Source organism: Homo sapiens, chromosome 2 (genome assembly GCF_000001405.40).
Source record: "Homo sapiens chromosome 2, GRCh38.p14 Primary Assembly".
Lineage (NCBI taxonomy): Eukaryota > Metazoa > Chordata > Mammalia > Primates > Hominidae > Homo > Homo sapiens.
Genome location: NC_000002.12, coordinates 195,857,229 through 195,872,871, shown reverse-complemented (window position 1 = coordinate 195,872,871; position 15,643 = coordinate 195,857,229). Strand labels below are relative to the sequence as shown.

Sequence of the window (15,643 nt, the reverse complement as noted above, 5' to 3'; positions counted from 1 at the left end):
GTTTCACCAGTGTTCCTTATGGATTATATTTATATGCAGTTGAGAATGCCAGGGAATGAAAGAGGTCGGGAAATACTTGTCTAGTGGATTTGGGATTACATAATCTGGGTTCCTTGGCTGTCTCTTCTGTTCACTTACTTAAGTGATTTTAAGTCCATTAAACTGGCCCTGCTCATTTCACAGGGGTCTTTTGGACATAACATAAAATAGTACATGGAAAATAGCTTTAAAAGGAGTAAAAATCTATTAGTATTATTATTATAATAAGATATGGTAATTTTATAAATGAAATTGATTTAATCAAAATTAAAATTTTATGTTGGTCCTGCTAAATATCCTTTTTGTGTCGTAATTCTATAATTGCTAACATTTTCCTTTCTTTTTATTTAAAAAATTTTTAAGTTATAAATTTCCAGATGAATTTCTAGATTTGACCACACAAATCGTAAATGGCACAATGACTCTGTATAAAGAAGCAATGAAGAATCTCTTGCCTACTCCAGCTAAATCTCACTACTTGTTCAACCTCCGTGATTTCTCCCGTGTCATTCAAGGTGTTTGTTTGTCAAGACCAGAAACAACAGAAACCACAGAAGTGATTAAACGTCTTTGGGTTCATGAGGTAAATTTTCCTGTTATTGAAATGGGATTATGTGAGAAACAAAGATTTGCCATGCCAACAACTGGGTAAAAAGAATATTCTTCAATTTATATTGCTGAAATATATTCAGTTATTTGGCATTTTGAAGGCCAGTGTTCAGAAAAATTTTAAAAATATTTAACACTGAGATATTTTATGATGTTTAAAATGCTTTATCTCCCATATGCAGATTTAGGAATTTCTGTTGATTTATAGAATATTTCAAAGTAGGTGTCACTTTGAACCAGTTTCCCTTAAGTAGTTTTTTTTTTTTTTTTTTTTTTTTTTTTTTTTTTTTTTTGAGACGGAGTCTCGCTCTGTCGCCCAGGCTGGAGTGCAGTGGCGGGATCTCGGCTCACTGCAAGCTCCACCTCCCGGGTTCACGCCATTCTCCTGCCTAAGCCTCCCAAGTAGCTGGGACTACAGGCGCCCGCCACTACGCCCGGCTAATTTTTTGTATTTTTAGTAGAGACGGGGTTTCACCGTTTTAGCCGGGATGGTCTCGATCTCCTGACCTCGTGATCCGCCTTCCCTTAAGTAGTTTAATCCTTGTTAGTTTGACTTCAAATAAATTTGAAATGGAACACTTTTTAAGGAGATGTTTTTATAAGAAGTGAATGTGGTTTTTTTTTTTTACATTACTTATTTGTATAGTATTACTAGATGCCAAAAGAATTGCAAAGCAAATTCTTGAGAGCATAGAAACTATATAAAAATGTATTTAAGCTCTCTTGGGAATAGGTATGTGGATGAGCATTTTCTTATAAGAAGTGGTAGAGGAGGCTCATGCCTGTAATCCCAGCACTTCAGGAGGCTGAGGCGGGAGAATTGCTTGAAGTTAGGAGTTTGAGGATGCAGTGAGCTATGATGGCACCACTGCGCTTCAGCCTGGGTGATAGAGCAAGACCCTTATTTTAATTTTAATATGCAGTTAAGAAACATAGAACACGAGAATGTGCTACTGTGTTACAACCATGTACTACAGAGATATAAATTTCAAAAGGTCTTTTAAAAATCCAGTTTCTCTGGACTTTTTAGATATACAGTTTGAATTCCTAAATCATCACACATTCAAATATATGTCCACGTGAAGATCCGTTCCACTTGCATGTTTTGGCCACAACAAGGTCTCCAAAAGTGATTCTTTGGAAAGGATGATGTAGAGATTCTTATAGCACTCCACAGCAGGTTACCTAATTGCCTGAATGGGACCCACTTCCCAGGATACGGATGCAGGCTTGTGTTTGGGGGCCACATGGGTAATAGAAATGTACTGAGAGCTGGAGAGTGTGGGGGAAGTGAACAGGGAGGATGATGCTGAATTCATTCAAGGAGCATGCCTTAGTCCATTCAGGCTGTTATAAAACGTACCTAAACTGGGTGGCTTGTCAACAAACTGAAATTAATTTCTCACAGTTCTGGAGGCTGGAAAGTTCAAGATCAAGGCACTGGCAGATTTCATGTCTGGTGAGGGATTGTTTTCTAGTTATAGGTGGTGCCTTCTCACCATGTCCTCAAATGGTGGAAGGGGCAATGGGCTCTCTGGCCTCTTTTATAAAGGCACTAATTCCATTCATGAGGGTTCTGCTCCCATGACCTAATTACCTCCCAGAGTCTCCACTGCAATACTATCACCTTGGGGGTGAGGATTTCAACATATAAATTTAGGGGGAACATAAACATTGAAACCATAGCAGATTGCATTGCTGAAGGCAGCATTTTGTCATGGGTGAATCTAACTCACGAGGAAGCATTTGGCATCCTCCACCTCAGTAACTTTGCCCTTGATATTCCTTCTGCCTAGAACACTCTTTCTCTGTTATCTGCAGGCTTGCCCACTTCCTTCCTTCAGATTTTTGCTGAAATACCCCCTTTTCATGCAAGCTTGCTTTGGGCCATCCCTACCCCCCTTGATTTTTTACTGCTTACCTTGCTTTGTTCTTCATAACATTGAACATCACCTGACACCTTCTAAATTTGGGGCTTACTTATTGTCTTTGCAATAATAGAAACTTTATGAGAATAGCAGTTATATTTATGCGCTGGTTTTCCCAGTGCCTGGCACACAGAAAACACTCAATAAATATTGGTGAATGAATGAGTGCATAAAGAGAGGAAGGCAGGCAGGCTTGCTACACATGACATGTTCTGTCACTTGAGATTATACATAACAGTGCTTTCTTCCAATCATGGGAATAGGTTGTTTGTGCTATTGTATATGTGTTAGACATAATTACTTTTAAGAGTTTTTTAGATTCTGTGCTGCTTTAGATGTCAGATTATTGAGTTTTGATAATGGTTGTTGAGCTCTTTGGGCATTTAGTGAGGTTTACTACTTCATATTTATACATACCTATATAAAACATAATGAATTTAGTCCTCAGCTCAAAACCTTGTATTAGCACCCTACTTCATTCAGAGGAATTTCGGATAAAAGTCCAGTGGCCCATGGGATCTGGGATGTGTTCCTCTTAGCCTGTTCCCCTCAGGCTGCCTCCTGCTCTCATCCTCATCCCCCTTTCACCAGCAGTACAGGTCTCCTGGCTATTCTCTTCTGCCTGCAATATTTCCCCCAGATATTGATGCTCTGGAATAGCTCCTTCCCTGCCTTTGATCAAATTCTTCTTTCTAGTTGAAGCTTTTTAATACCACAGCCTGACTCCCCTCCCCTATCCTAGTAGTTCCAGTCTTTCTTATCCTGTCCTATTTTACTTCTTTTCATAATATTTTCCAACGTCCAACATGTTGTAGAATTCATTCGTTATATGTGTTGTTCATCTCCCTCAGATAGCAGGCAAGCCCCATGAGAGCAGAGATTTTCCTCTCTCTTTTTTTTTTCTTACTGCAGTGCCAAGAAGGATGTTTGGTACATTATTCTCAACATCTTTAAAAATATGAGGTAATTGTGAGACAGTAGGTGGGAAGGGATCCCCCGAGAAACTCCAGCCAGCCAGTGCACTGGGGTGGAACCACAGAAGTTCATGCTGTTTGCAGTGGGGAGGAGCCTGGCCCCTCTTCTTCCTGGATGGAACCTGGGATTCAATCTGCAGGGTGGGAAGCACTCTAGAAGGGACGCTGGCCTTGTGGAGAGTCCCTGTTTCCCCCTTTTCTTCACTTTCACTCAATAAAACCTGTTTTACTCACCATTCAAATAGTCTGTGAGGCAAAATTTTCATGGCTGTGTAACAAGGACCCCACCTTTAGCTGAACTAAGGAAAAGTCCTGCAACAATTGAACTTAACACTAATTTGTGCTTTATTTCTGTTCACTCAGAAAATATTTCTTCAGGGTTTAATATATGTTAGAGACTACTTTACATGTCTTTTTCCTTTCCAGACATCATTATCATACTAGATAACCTTATATAATTTCACTAAATGGTTTCTAAGGTATAAAACTGACAACTCATTCCCTTTGGCTTCTCCATGGCTCTGAGACATTAGTTAATGCACGTATCACCTGGTTTGCTTGTTAAATACAGATATTCTGCAAAAACAAGACCCCCAAAATAGATGAATATGTTTCATCAAAATTAAAAAATTTTATGCTTCAAAAAACACCATCCAAAAAATGAAAAGACAATATATAGAATGGGATAAAATACCTGCAAATCATATAAACTGTTAAGTATCTAGTATCCACAATACATAAAGAACTGTTATAACTCAACAATAAAAGACTAATAATGCAATTTAAAAGTGAGCAAAGGATTCAAAGACATCGCTCCAAAGATGATATACAAATGGCCAATAAGGACATGATTAGTCATTAGGGAAATACAAATCAAAACTGCCATTAAGTACCTTTCACACTCAATAGGATGGCTGTAATAAAAAAGATGAATAATAGGCCAGGCGTGGTGGCTCACACCTGTAATCCCAGCACTTTGGGAGGCCGAGGCAGGCGGATCATGAGGTCAGGAGATCGAGACCATGGTGAAACCCTGTCTCTACTAAAAATACAAAAAATTAGCCGGGTGTGGTGGCGGGCACCTGTAGTCCCAGCTACTCAGAGAGGCTGAGGCAGGAGAATGGCATGAACCCGGGAGGCGGAGCTTGCAGTGAGCCGAGATCGCACCACTGCACTCCAACCTGGGTGACAGAGCGAGACTCTGTCTCAAAAAAAAAAAAAAAAAAAAAAAAGATGAATAATAGAACAGTGTTGGTGAGCATGTGGAAGAATTGGAACCCTCATACATAGCTGGCAGTAATGTAATATAGAAAACAGTTTGGTAGGTCATCAAAAGGTTAAAACATAGGGTTACCATATGACCTAGCAGTTCCACTCCTAACTGTGGACCCAGAAGAACTGATACATGTCCATGCAAAAACTTGTACATGAATATTATTAGCAGAATTATTTATAATAGCCAAAAAGTAGAAACAACCCAAATATCCATCAGCTGATGAGTGGACAAACAAAATATTGTAAATACATACTGTGGAATTGTATTCAGTCCTAAAAAGAAATACTCATATATCCTACAACATAGATGAACCTAGAAACATTGTGCTAAGTTAAAAAGTCCATACACAAAAGGTCACCTATGATATGATTCATTTATATCATATATCCAGAATAAGCAAGTTAGTTCCATAGAGATAGTAAATAGATTAGTGTTGGCCAGGGCTGGTGGTAATGAGAAGTAGCTTCTATTGGGTACCAGGTTTCTTTCTGGGGTGATGATAAAGTTCTGGAGGGAGATAGTTGTGATGGTTGCACAACTTTGTGAATATTCTGATTCTGTATTCTTTTAAAGAATGAATTTTATGGTCCATGAATTATATCTCAATTTTAAAAGTCTGCAATCAAGACTTTGAGGTAAATAAATTCAAAGCACAAATTACAATATAAATATACCAGAAATTATATCCTTTGCAACAATTTAGATTTATAATAGAAAGTTTTAAGTGTCAACTTTTTAAAATGTGAGAGGTGGTGATAGAATAATGGTTCCTTGTTGGGGAGGGAGGAAAGCAGGGACCAACAGTAGTGAGCATGAGGGAGCTTACTAAGGTGCTGGAAATTTTATATCTTGATCTTGGTGGTGGTTACATGGATGTATAACTGTGTGCCAAAATTCTTTGAGCTGTACACTTAAGATTGTTGTACCTGTATTAGTCCATTTTCATGCTGCTGATAAAGACATACCCGAGACTGGGCAATTTACAAAAGAAAGAGGTTTATTGGACTTACAGTTCCACATGTCTAGTGATGCCTCACAATCATGGTGGAAGGTGAAAGGCATCTCTCACATGGTGGCAGACAGGAGAAGAGAGATTGTGCAGGGAAACTCCCCTTTTTAAAACCATCAGGTCTCGTGAGACTTATTCACTATCATAAGAACAGCACGGGAAAGACCCACCCCATGATTCAATTGCCTCCCACCAGGTTCCTCCCACAACACGTGGGAATTCAAGATGAGATTTAGGTGGGAACACAGCCAAACCATATCTGTACCTTAAATAAGGAAAAAGAAAAAACAAAAAGAAATGGAAAGATATTCCCAGGAATCATCCTCTGTGTTTTTAAGTCAACAGATCCACTGTGGGGCCCAGGAATTTGCATTTTGAATAAGTACCTCAGATGATTTTAATGCAGATGTGTTGACTGTCTTTGAGAAATGCTGCTATAGGTTCTTGCTAAACTGCCAGCTAGATAATAATATACTTGTTTCATGCTTAGGCATTGATCCTGATACATGAAGTTGACTTAATTTAGGAATATTGTCTGAGATCTTAAGTACCTCAATTCAAAGATTGGCCATTGGCATGTATTGGGAAATTAGATTGTCTCACAGAGAAATAACTTTTGAACTGGTTGGAATAAGAAGGAAGTTTAAATAATACCATTTGCTTATGCAGACACTATTAGTGAAAAAAAAAAAGGATAACACTATGAAATCATCAATTTGATAACAATACACTAAAACCACGATTCCTGAACACCATTAACCTTAATGCTAGGGCAATTTGCAGTAATTATCTATTTGAATTCTACAGTGTTTTCACATATTTTGTCATGTTACTTTTTCCCCAAATCTATGAGATTTGCGAGGTAGGTAATACTACTTCTATTTTATAGGTGAAGAAGTTGATGCAGACATTTTCAGTGATTTACTCAAAATGGTAGAGCAGAGTAAGGATCCAACGTTCCACTGACGAAATATGCATTATTTATAGCATATATGTATTAGTTGGCCATTAACAAAATAATACAGACTAAGTGGCTTAAACAACAGAAATTTATTTTCTCACGCTGGCTTGCTAAAGCCACCTTGTCTCTGTGTCCTCACATGGCCCTTCCTCTGTGCATATAAGGGCTGCCCAACAGAAACAAGAACCAGAGAGAGAGAGGGAGAGAGCGCTTTAATGCCTCTTCCTCTCCTTATAAGGACACTATCCTATAAGATTAGGGCCCTACCCTTATGACTTAATTTAACCTTAATTGCTTCCTTAAAGGCCCTATCCCCAAATCCAGTCACATTGAGAGTTATGGCTTCAACATAAGAATTTTGGGGGGACACAATTCAGTCCAAAATAGACTGTACCCCTGGGACACACTTCTTTAAGAAAACAGTTGCTACATGTAGCAAGCCTGATGTTTCTTGCAGTCCCATAACATGTGCATATAACCGGAGATTTATTTTAGTAGATTGCTCTCTGTAACGACTTAAAACAAAAATAATTAACAGGTATCCCAAACAACTCTCCCTCTACCCAAGACATTTCCTGTTCTAGAAAATGTGCTTTTTGAAAAACAAAAACAAAAGCAAAAACTATTGATTTGTCAATAACTTTCAAAATGTTATCTATCTTAGAAAAAGGAAACATCACTGGAAAGGTGTTGGGTACCCCCTGGGTACTGGTGCCCAGCTCTGCTATCCACATCTGAGCAGCCAGCAAAGGCAGTCACTAACTTCTCAAGGCCTTAATTCTCTTAGCATCTCTACATCTGCTTCAGCTCCCACCCCCAAAATTACCTTTCATTGATTGATAACTGACTATAACCTTATTATTCTAAATATAGAGTTAAAATTAACATTTAAAATAACATTATTGTGAATCAGTCCTGATTATTTGGATATACTTTTAATAAAACCTGCAGAAATTTTCTAATATTTTTATTACCTGAGATTAGCACAGATATAATAACACTTTCTTAAAAATCAGAAGAAAGTTTCTAAAGCTGCTTTTTAATTATTATACAGGTCCTTCGAGTGTATTATGACCGCCTTCTGGACAATACAGACAGAAGCTGGCTCATCAACTACATTCAAGAAATTTTGAGAAACTACATGTATGAAGATTTTCATGAGCTTTTTCAGCGTTTGGATTTTGATAATGATGGCATGGTGGAAGCAGATGACTTACGCAGCTTAATGTTTTGTGATTTCCATGATCCCAAGAGGGAGGATACCAACTACAGAGAAATCGCAGATGTGGATAATCTTCGAATGATAGTAGAAATTCACCTAGAAGAATACAACAATATAAGCAAAAAACCCATGAACCTTGTCTTGTTTCGATTTGCCATAGAGCACATCAGCAGAATTTCCAGGATCCTGAAGCAGCCTCGCAGCCATGCTCTCCTAGTAGGGGTTGGAGGGAGTGGAAGGCAGTCTGTCACCAGATTAGCTGCCCACATGGCTGATTATTCAGTTTTCCAAGTTGAAATCTCTAAGGGGTATGATACTACTGAATGGCATGAAGATTTAAAAGTGATCTTAAGGAAATGTGCGGAAGGTGAGATGCAGGGTGTCTTCCTGTTTACAGATACTCAAATTAAAGAAGAGTCTTTTCTGGAAGATGTCAGTAATCTGCTAAATGCTGGGGAGATTCCAAATCTCTTTGCATTAGATGAGAAGCAAGAGATATGTGATAAGATGCGTCAGTTAGATCGCCAGCGGGATAAAACCAAGCAAACAGATGGCAGCCCCATAGCCCTTTTCAACATGTTTATTGATCATTGCCGCAGCCAACTGCATGTGGTCCTTGCCATGAGTCCCATTGGAGATGCATTTCGGAATCGTCTTAGAAAGTTCCCTGCTCTTGTTAACTGCTGTACCATTGACTGGTTTCAGGTATTGTCATGTACATTTTAGATAGACTTCTAGAAATGTTGAATTTCCACTATCATCATGACTTATTTTATAGATTCCCAACCTGTAGTTTACCCCAAAATATTGTTTAGCAGAATCTTCTGATCAGTTATATCTTATGAAATTATAATTCAAGAAATTATAATAGAAAAGTATTTATTAAGAATATATGTGATCACTAACTTCAATATATTATAGGAAGTGTTATGATAAAATTGTGTATCAGAGTCCTGACAGGAAGCACAGAGCAACCTTGAACCCTTCACCGAAGAAAGCATAATGAAGGAACTGTTCACAGAGGGGTAGGCAGGGTTAAGGGAACCAAGAGGGGATGTTGGAACACTCAGGAAGTGGTAGGTGGAGCAATAGCAGGAAGTGTTACTATAACCGTGTATGAAAGTCAGAGCTTAGAGCTGTGGATATAAGACTGCCCAACAGGAATAGGAACCAGAAACGTAGAACTCAGCTACGGCTGGAAAGGAAGGGAGGATCAAAATACCCCTGTGTCTCACTTCTTCCACCCTGCCCCCAATCTCTTCCCATTAGCTAAACCCAAAGGAGTTAAGAGCGAGAAAGCCAGAGTGACCTTTTTTTCTGTGGACTTCAGTACTGGGAAGTACAGAGCAGAGCAGAAAAAGGCAGCGAATGGATGGGGGGTAGGAACGAGGGGTGGGGAAGGGGAGTAGCAAAGGAAGAGTAACTAGCTAGATGTGAATAGTAATTTAATTCTCCCTTCTGGCTTTAACAGCATATCACAATGCATTCTCTACCTGTGTGGTAAAAAATCTGTGGGCTGTGACTGAGATCCCGTGAGTGGGTTTTGACAGATAAGCATTTATGACCTTGGAAAGTTTACAGAACCTCTCTGTATCTCTACTTCCTGGTAAAATTAATTATTTCATGCAAAACATTTATTGAATTCTGTTTTGCTTTGTAGCAAGTCTTAATCTAAAAGCTGGAGATGAAGCACATGAAATAGACAAGACCTCTGCTCTCCTTGAGCTTCTTGTCTACAGACAAATAAGCAAAACACAATTTCATCAGACAGGGTAGCAAATAGGGAGTAAATGCTTTGTTGTTGTGTTTGTTGTTTTGAGATGCAGTCTCACTCTTGTCACCCTGGCTGGAGTGCAGTGGTACAATCTTGGCTCACTGCAACCTCTGCCTCCCAGGTTCAAGCAATTCTTCTGCCTCAACCTCCCAAGTAGCTGGGATTACAGGCACCCACCACCATTCCTGGCTAATTTTTGTATTTTTAGTAGAGACGGGATTTCACCATGTTGGCCAGGCTGGTCTTGAACTCCTGACCTCAGGTGATCTGCCCGCCTCGGCCTCCCAAAGTGCTGGGATTACAGGTAAATACTTTTTAAATAAGGGACCAATTAAGGGTTTGAAGAGGAAACTGGAAAGACAAAAAAGTGTCAGTATTGAGATCTGAGCAGAGAGGATAAACTAGTGAAGTCAAGTGTCTAGACAGAAGGAAGGAGAGGGTGACAGAAAATCAGGGTGACAGGAGCACAGGAACTGTGGGGGGAAGTGGTATAACAGTTCAGAAATGTGGGAAGGGTCAAATCAGTTAGAGATTGGCAAGTTGGTTCGGATTTTAAGAATTCTAGGAAGTCTTTGGTTATAAATTGGGGAGTGTGACATGAGCTGATTTATATTTTGAAAAGCTCACTCTTGCAGCTATGTAGAGAATGCAAGCAGTTTGGATGCTACTGGAATCTTCCAGGCAGATGATAGTGGAGGCTTGAATTGGGATGATTGAGGTAGACAAAGAAAGAAGAGAGGATTTGGAAGCTATTTCAGGAATAATGCCTACATCATTCTCAGGGAAATGTTAGGAGAATTAAATGAGATAATACCAGTAAAATGCATACAGAAATAGACATTCCATAAATTTAGTTCATTTGCCTTTCCTTTCTCCTGCAACACTCATGAACAATTTCTCTAATCTCAGAACAAACCACACACAGTGAATGTTATATGCACTAACTAGCTCCTGGCTCCCTCCCCTAAGTATGCAAGTCCTCGGGAAAGTTTCTTATGAAATTGTCTCTCCCACACCATCCCTCACACTATTCCCCTTCACCCCCAACATCCATAAGTTGTAAAGGGCTGCAGTAGTAGCAGATCCAGATTCGTAATCTTAATAAAATGCTAAAGCATTTATCTTACATTTAGTCATGGCCTGAAGATGCACTCCAGGCAGTTGCCTCACGATTCTTGGAAGAAATTGAAATGTCAGAGGAAATACGAGATGGCTGTATCGACATGTGTAAAAGCTTCCACACTTCTACTATAGATTTATCCAAATCTTTCTTTGTTGAACTTCAAAGATACAATTATGTGACTCCTACCTCTTACCTCGAATTAATCTCCACCTTCAAACTGTTGTTAGAAAAGAAAAGAAGGTAAAAATCAAATTTCATATTTCTAAGTAAGCTATGGCAATTAAAAATACTTGTGTGTGCAAAAACGACATAATATATAATGGAGATTTATTTCGTAGAAATATACTGTAAGTTTTGTTACATCTTTAAATTATTTAATCCACAGACATTTTGAATTTAGGGAGGGGTCTTATCCTTCTCATATGGGCACATTGCCTAGCACATCATAGATGCATAATAACTCTTGGAAGAATGAAGATATTCCAACCAGAGCTGTGAATATTGAGTAAACACTAGTAGAGAGTGATTTTTCTCTGATAAATAATTGGGTAATAGTTAAACCCTCTCTTTGAATACTGAACAGCTGAGACTCTAGGGAGGGACAGCCACTCTCTAATAAACTGTCATTTGAAAACATCAATATAAACATGAGTAAACTTACCTGCTATAGAAAGTGTCAATGTGAGTTTTTTTAATGTTCTGGAGGGTGACTTGTGTGTGCACAGAAGTTTATTCAAATATTTCTTTGGTTCCAAAAATTAAAATTCAGTATGTATATTACAAAATTTAAAAACATTATAACATTAAGGTAGAAAGTAGGAAGTTTGGAACATTTTAGTGGTTACCTTTAAAGGGGACCTTGGATTAATGTGTGGCTCCATTCAAAAGCTTGTTTAAATAAAATTTTTAATACATTATTTATATTTCCCTTTTAAGTTCTGATTTAACAAATCAAACATTACTAGATACTTAAATAATTTATAAGTCTAGTATTTTAAACGTATACATATGGTAAGCCTTAAGTACTTTTAAATGTTTGAATATTATCTATAAATTAATATGATTTTTACTTAAAAGCACAAATGTAAATTTACTGCTCAGACACATGATTTATATTGAAAGCTCAAGCCTGATCCACGAATTGAACAGACCAAATTCTTTTAAAGATTAAAAAGAATACATAAAACAACAAATGTGCACAGATAATATAAAAATATTAATACTATGAGTTTGATTTTTATATATATTTCTATGGTTAATTCTAAATCTTCCTATGGCTAACCCACTATCTCAAGCATTTTGAAGGACCTTTTCTCATATTGGGCAGCATGCTACCTGGATATGGATATGACACTCCTCATCTGTATTCATAGTAACTATTGCTGTGCCCTCCCAACAGGACTGTCATAGTCACTGTGGTCTACAACCCTGTGTTTGAATCATACCTTTAGGAATTTTTCAACTACCTAGTGAAATCGGCAGTGCCCACCGTGACTGCTGCATAGCTTGGCTGGAATTTATTATTTCTTTGGCTCTCAAGATAATTGTCTTTCTGTGTCGAGCTTATGATCTTTAACATAATGGAAACTTGCTTTTTTTCATATTTTCTTATCCAGGAGGATCAAAAGCTCTTGGAGATTGATTAAATTTTGGATATCACTCATGGCTTTTGTTTGACTCTGCACTCACAATAGTAAGGCCACCCTAACAAAAAAAAGGATTATAAAAATGAGAGGCAAACTTATAGGAAGAGTTTAAACTTATTGGTTATAAGTTTTAAAGTTACAAAGTTATAAGTTCAAACTTACAGGTTGAAAGTCATAGTTTTTAAGGTATTTTCAAATATTCTTATTTGCCCTTCAAATTTTCCTTTTTCAAATTTTTTCTTTTCAAAATTCCTTGCAAATGAAAAAAAAAGATATTAAATTATCCTTTACCTCAACTAGAATTCCTATCCTGTGATTATTCTTCCCATAATAGCTAAAGCCTTCAGATCACGACAGCCAGGTAGTGCTGTAACCTAGAAGCAAGTTTTCAGGTTACTTGGAAGGAAATCTATGGTTAAGCTAGCAAAGCGTCACTTGGGATTAGCCACCATATTGAAACTGTCTCAGGCTGGCAGGAATGAGACCTTTCCTATGCTTGTTGCACAAGGTTTCAGCTGAAACCAAACTCACAGATAATACAGGCCATACATTCGGTCCCCTCTGTTCCCATTACTTTCTAATATTTTGCACACTCAGGGAATTTGACATGTGACAAAAATGTAGCATGCTCTCACTTATGAATTTTTTTAAAACAAAAATTATAATCCTTTCAGTGTTCTCCAGGTTACCTTTTCCAGCTCAAGCCAGTTCCTTACTACTCCAGTCTGTTTTTTGAAGGGGATTTTAAAAACATGTCATTTTTTTACTTGGAGACATTATGGTATATCAAGTATTTTAAAATGAAATTATAAAGAAGAGTTTTCTCTATAGAGACATATATATATATTTGCAGATAAATGCAGATTAAATTTTTGACTACATTAAAATATTAAACTTTTAAAATATGCTAAAATATTACATTATTTCTAATCATTTGTTATTACTTTATAATCATTTTGCACCAAACAGGGTATTGAGCTTTATGATCTGCTCTATTTGTTACTTTTTCTTTAATAAAACAAATCTCTTGTTTCAAGATGTATAATACATGTTAAAATCATTTTTTCACATTTGGAAACATTCAAAATAATATATTTTGAGCACTGAAGTGCGTTTAAAATAAGTGATCATAAAAAGGTTTAAAGCAGCAGTAGTGTTGCTGGGATCAACTTACCAACTTTAGAGGTACATCATTCATTTTGATACAGGAGACTCCTTGCCTCATCGCCAGTGTATTTATTCTTTTGAATTTCTGTTGTATGCGTTGATAACATATAGGTACTGAAAACACAAAAATGAATAAAACACGCTGTCTGCTCTTAATTGTGCACAAATCCGACATTCTAGGTTTCATGTTTTGACAGATTGTCATTTATATGAAAATCTTTTAGACCACTCCGTAGTTATGTCTTGAAAAAGCCTAGAAAGCTCAGAAACACTTAAGTTTTTCCTTCATGTAGGATACAGAGCCTCATGATTAACTTTGTTTTATCTATTTCCTTCCAGTGAAGTAATGAAAATGAAAAAGAGATATGAAGTGGGTTTGGAGAAACTGGATTCTGCTTCATCTCAAGTAGCCACAATGCAGATGGAGTTGGAGGCACTACATCCTCAATTAAAAGTTGCTAGCAAAGAGGTTGATGAAATGATGATAATGATTGAGAAAGAGTCTGTAGAAGTTGCCAAAACTGAAAAAATAGTGAAAGCTGATGAAACAATAGCGAATGAACAAGCTATGGCTTCCAAAGCCATCAAAGATGAGTGCGATGCTGACCTGGCAGGTGCCTTGCCAATATTAGAGTCAGCACTGGCCGCCCTTGATACTCTTACTGCACAGGTAAGAGCTTCGCCATACACTTTCTAGGACACATGTCATCATAGCCCAAGAAAGAAATTAGCATTGTGTTCTAGTCTAGTTTGTCTCTCCGAATTAGCCTGAAATTTTAATGAAGCTGAAATCATTTTGAAATTGGCAAAAGAATTCCCTAATTGACTTGAAAAAGAAATGCATGTGCATGCAAAAACACCTTTGAAATGGAAGAAAGCGGCCAGATGTTATAGCCTACCATAAAGCAACAGTTATTTCAAGAACTTCATACATCTTTGCACTGCAGTAATCAACAAAGACATAAGCTTTGAGATTATATTTTGATTCTAAGGGGTACCTTTTTCATATTTAGACACACTTGTCATTGGAATACATCTTATAGAGCATGTGATAAAGTATTAATTTTGCCAGTGATTTTTTTTGGGGGGATACATAAAATAATAATGTGTTTTATAATAATTTATTTTACAATAGCAATGTCTTAGATTTCATGAGGTGTATTAAAAGTTAAGATGTGAAAGGGGAATATTTTAATTTAGAAAGATGAAGATAGATTTTTAAAATAAATAGTGCAGAGAATTTTGGCTAAACTTTTGGGTGGGACTGAGGAGAAAAGTGTAAGTGCAGTTCTATTACTGTCACCATTTCTACCCAGTGAACACAGTGAGTTTCTGTATGCTTAGTTTGAAAATAGGAACCACTTACAATTACTGTATAAACAAACATGTCTTTTAAAATAATTAACGTTGTTATTTCAAGGATATTACAGTGGTAAAATCCATGAAGAGTCCTCCTGCTGGTGTCAAGCTTGTTATGGAAGCTATATGCATCTTGAAAGGAATCAAAGCTGACAAAATCCCTGACCCAACAGGTTCAGGGAAAAAAATTGAGGATTTCTGGGGCCCAGCTAAGAGACTTCTTGGTGACATGAGGTTTCTGCAGTCACTTCATGAATATGACAAGGACAATATTCCTCCAGCTTATATGAATATCATAAGAAAAAATTATATTCCAAATCCAGATTTTGTACCAGAAAAAATCAGAAATGCTTCTACAGCGGCCGAAGGTCTGTGCAAATGGGTCATAGCAATGGATTCATATGATAAGTAAGTGCTGATAAAAAGAAATCCAGCTGGTATGGTCTGTCTTCACTTCTGGTCAGTTAGAAAATATACAATTTAAAAGTTATGTAAGTGAGAGGCTCCTTGGAAAATCCTGTCTGAATTTGCTTTGTGTTTGCATATTTACTGGAGG

At 37.3% G+C, this 15,643-nt stretch overlaps 1 protein-coding gene across 12 annotated transcripts in view, besides 1 other annotated feature; it reads left to right on the top strand.

The window, feature by feature from the left end:
* The window catches only part of DNAH7 (dynein axonemal heavy chain 7), a 331,135-nt gene that overhangs the window by 195,966 nt on the left and 119,526 nt on the right, over window positions 1-15,643 (top strand). For all 12 annotated transcript variants that reach the window (XR_922968.4, XM_011511488.4, XM_017004504.3 and 9 more), the window contains 5 exons: window positions 403-622; window positions 7,851-8,723; window positions 10,926-11,155; window positions 14,068-14,398; window positions 15,149-15,495. Coding sequence is in view for 11 of the 12 variants with exons in the window: in XM_011511488.4 (XP_011509790.1) it covers window positions 403-622; window positions 7,851-8,723; window positions 10,926-11,155; window positions 14,068-14,398; window positions 15,149-15,495 (2,001 nt within the window). In the remaining variant the exon portion in view is untranslated. The remainder of the gene's footprint in view (window positions 1-402; window positions 623-7,850; window positions 8,724-10,925; window positions 11,156-14,067; window positions 14,399-15,148; window positions 15,496-15,643) is intronic.
* Window positions 13,452-14,651: an enhancer, noted in NCBI's record as "BRD4-independent group 4 enhancer chr2:196722945-196724144 (GRCh37/hg19 assembly coordinates)". NCBI's record gives its function as "activates an origin of replication core promoter dependent on BRD2, P300/CBP, MED14 and CDK7 cofactors, and independent of BRD4, by STARR-seq in HCT116 cells {active_cell/tissue: HCT116}" and the evidence as "EXISTENCE:reporter gene assay evidence [ECO:0000049][PMID:35650434]".